General features: G+C 38.6%; 1 annotated feature.

Moving 5' to 3' along the window:
* Positions 305 to 474: an enhancer, noted in NCBI's record as "active region_13174". NCBI's record gives its function as "activates an Ori minimal core promoter by ATAC-STARR-seq in GM12878 lymphoblastoid cells {active_cell/tissue: GM12878}" and the evidence as "EXISTENCE:reporter gene assay evidence [ECO:0000049][PMID:35858748]".

Consider the following 3639-nt stretch of genomic DNA (forward strand, 5'->3'; position numbering starts at 1 on the left):
AGATTGGAGCTTTGGCACCAGAAAAGGCTTGAGTCTCAACTCTACCACTTGCCAGCTGTGTGACCTCAGTTTCCTGATCTGTAAAATGGTGATAAACAGTGATACAGTAGTCCCCCTTATCAGTAGGGTATATGTCCCAAGATCCCCAGTGGATACCTGAAACCACAGATAGTACCAAGCCCTATACTATGCATACATACCTAAGATAAAGTTTAATTTATAAATTAGGCAAAGTAAAAGGTTGACAACACTCACTAATAATAAAGTAGAACAATTATAACAATATACTGTAATAAAAGTTACATGAATGTGGTCTCTGTCTCTCTCTAAATACTGTAATATTTTCAGACCATGGTTGACGTTAGGTAACTGAAACCATGGAAAGTGAAACTGCAGAAAAAGGGGAACTACTGTATGTACCTAAGACGGTTGTTTTGAGAAGAAAAGTTTATATACTGGTACCTCATTTCACTAATAGTCTATGTCATGAATTTTTCTTCTTATGGAAATTGCCGAATGACTATTATTCCTTATGATCAAGAGAGTTTTAGATGCTGTATCCATTTCTGCCCTATGAGAAAATGATGAACAAAAAGGTATGTTACTAATGTCGTCAACAATATATCACATTTCACAGTTTATGGATGTATTCACATCACATTATTTAATCCTTGCAATAATCCTGTTATTAATCTTTGGATGGCTATTATTGCCTGTATTGTCCAGATGACATATTACTACCTCTATTTATGTATTGAGAGGTAAAGTCCAAACATTGTAAGGGACTTATTCAAGTTCAGATATTGTCTGTACAACTAGACTATGGATTTGAGAACAGCCCTGCCTTAGGAAGTCCTTTGCCATTTCAGTTACAGCAGGTGGACAAAATAAAAGTATTTGCTGTGAATTCTATTTTTTATTTTTATTCTTTATTTATTATGACTATTATTTTGAGATGGAGTCTCACTTTGTTGCACAAGCTGGGGTGCAGTGGTGGGACCTTGGCTCACTGCAACCTCCACCTCCTGGGTTCAAGCAATTCTCCTACCTCAGCCTCTTGAGGAGATGGGACTACAGACACACATCACCATGTCTGGCTAATTTTTTGTTTGTTTGTTTGTTTTTTGAGACAGAGTCTCGCTCTGTTGCCCAGGCTGGAGTGCAGTGGCGCAATCTCGGCTCACTGCAAGCTCCGCCTCCCGGGTTCATGCCATTCTCCTGCCTCAGCCTCCTGAGCAGCTGGGACTACAGGCACCCGCCACCACGCCCAGCTAATTTTTTTGTATTTTTAATAGAGACGGGGTTTCACCGTGTTAGCCAGGATGGTCTCGATCTCCTGACCTCGTAATCCACCCACCTCGGCCTCCTAAAGTGCTGGTGGGATTACAGGTGTGAGCCACCGTGCCCGGCCACATCTGGCTAATTTTTATTTTGTATTTTTAGTAGAGACAGGGTTTCATCATGTTGGCCAGGCTGGTCTAGAACTCCTGGCATCAACTGATTTGCCCGCCTTGTCCTGGATTTGCCTCCAGGATGCTGCAATTGATAGGGAACATAGGGGTATGTGATTGCTTGACTTGTTTCTTGCTCTACTGAAATTTCCATCTTGTTGAAAGTAAAGAAATATTAATACAGTCTAGCCCGAAGAGAGTAGATTTTCCTAATTTTCCAGACTCCAAAACAACAGTTTCTTTAATCCCAGCTAGACAGCCAGCCACAGCTGATGGGCGAGGTTCGTTACCAACACAGGTGCAGCCAATCCATTGCATGGCCAATCACAGTGACTTTTTCAAGAACTTAAACTAGTAACACAGGCATTAAGGAAGTTGGATGCTGAGTCAGGCTACCATAAGAATAATAAATAAAATGCAAGGACTCCGTTGATGAGATCCAAAAATATGTCCTGCTTCTTATCTGTCCTTATGATAAACCTCTTTTACTTAAACTAGCTGATTTGCAACAAAACCATCTTTGAATCAGAACTCATCTGCTGAAGGAATCAGCTGGGAGGGAATATTGTGGGCTTGAGGAATCAGTTGAGGGTTCATTAAAGAGGGAGGCAAAGCCAGTGTGGGTTACAGGAGTAACCCACTGCACCCTGCCTTTGCTGGGAATTCTAAGCTAATTATCTACCACTGACAATCAAATCGAAGACCTGGGTCATGCACGGTCTATCATGCTAGTGACTAGTAAACATTTCCATGTCAGCCAAGGAAGCATTATTATTATTATTATTTTTGTTTGTTTCTTTGATGTTCTTGTATGTTGCAATATTTTGAGATGGTTTGCTAAAAGTCGGATTTATTTGTTGTTGTTTTTGTTTGTTTTCTTCTTTTGCCTCAATGAAGAACTGCTGGTGGACTCAACTCTTCACTAGATGACATAGGCCTGCATAGCAAAAGGCCAGGTTGTCTTGGGTTATCTAAGTTATGAAAAAAAAAATTGTTTTTTGCATACAAAGTGATAGACATTAAAGTTTTCAAAAGGTTGAAAGAGTTGTTTTTACCTGTATTTCATGCTGCTTAATAACTGCTTTAACCTGTTGATACAGAACTGAATTATCCTAATCTCCTATTTAATTGAAGACTAGCTATGTGTCCAGAACTCTGCAAGAAACCATGAAGCATATTTTTTCTTTAAATGACACAACATGGTTTCTGCCACAAGGTGCTGAAAATCTAGCAGACATAAAATTCTTCTTGAAGTCTTCCAGACACTTTCAAGAACAATACAACACAAAATATAATTAAATGTGATACTGTGTTTTATAAATGGCAAACATTACGGGAGTTAGAGAAGCCAACAGTGGACTGCAGCAGCCAGGGAGGGAGACAGGAAACCTGTCCTACTTTCACCTGCTCCATTCATCTCCTAGTCCAGAAAGGGTACTCCAAGTACTAAAGACCACTATATTTTGCTATAATACATCTAGTCAAATATATCACATTTTATAAAAGTGGGATTGTGATGTATATATGATTTTAACCTTTTTTCACTTAATTTTACTTAAACATATACTGAATTGTTATATAGTATTTCATATTTCTTAGTTTCCCTCCTGTTGGACACTTAGGCTATTTCCAGTTTTACCAATAGAGGAAACCTACAATAACCATCCTTGTAACACTACAGAAGTATTTGTGTATACCTCTGATTATTTTTTCCATAAAATAACCTACTAGAAGAAAATACATTTCTCATCAGACCAAAGGTAAGCTTTAAGGCAGTTCTAAATATTAAGCAAAGGAAGAAAATATAATAAAATTTATCAATAAGTTTGGGCTTATAAAAATGAGACTCTTTGTTTCCATTTTTGTGTGTACTTGAGGACATGCCCTGCTATCTAGCTACAAATCTGATAAGTGGGTAGACTAATTGGCCACTATTATATTTGTTGTGCAGAAGCAAGGAGTTGGGGAATTTATGTTAGTCTTCACAGTCTAAAGGTACCATCAGATATGGAAGGCAAGTATATAAATGTGTCCATCTGAAACTAGAAGATCCATGAGGCCTTATTCTCAGAGGTCTCCTTGGCTTTCTGATCTTTCCTCATGTAACTAATATGCTCAGCTCCAACTCACTTGCAGAATCAGGCTTCAAGAGATTGAGACAGAATGAAGAGATGGTCCAATATGCCTT

Source organism: Homo sapiens, chromosome 18 (genome assembly GCF_000001405.40).
Source record: "Homo sapiens chromosome 18, GRCh38.p14 Primary Assembly".
In the NCBI taxonomy this organism is placed as follows: domain Eukaryota; kingdom Metazoa; phylum Chordata; class Mammalia; order Primates; family Hominidae; genus Homo; species Homo sapiens.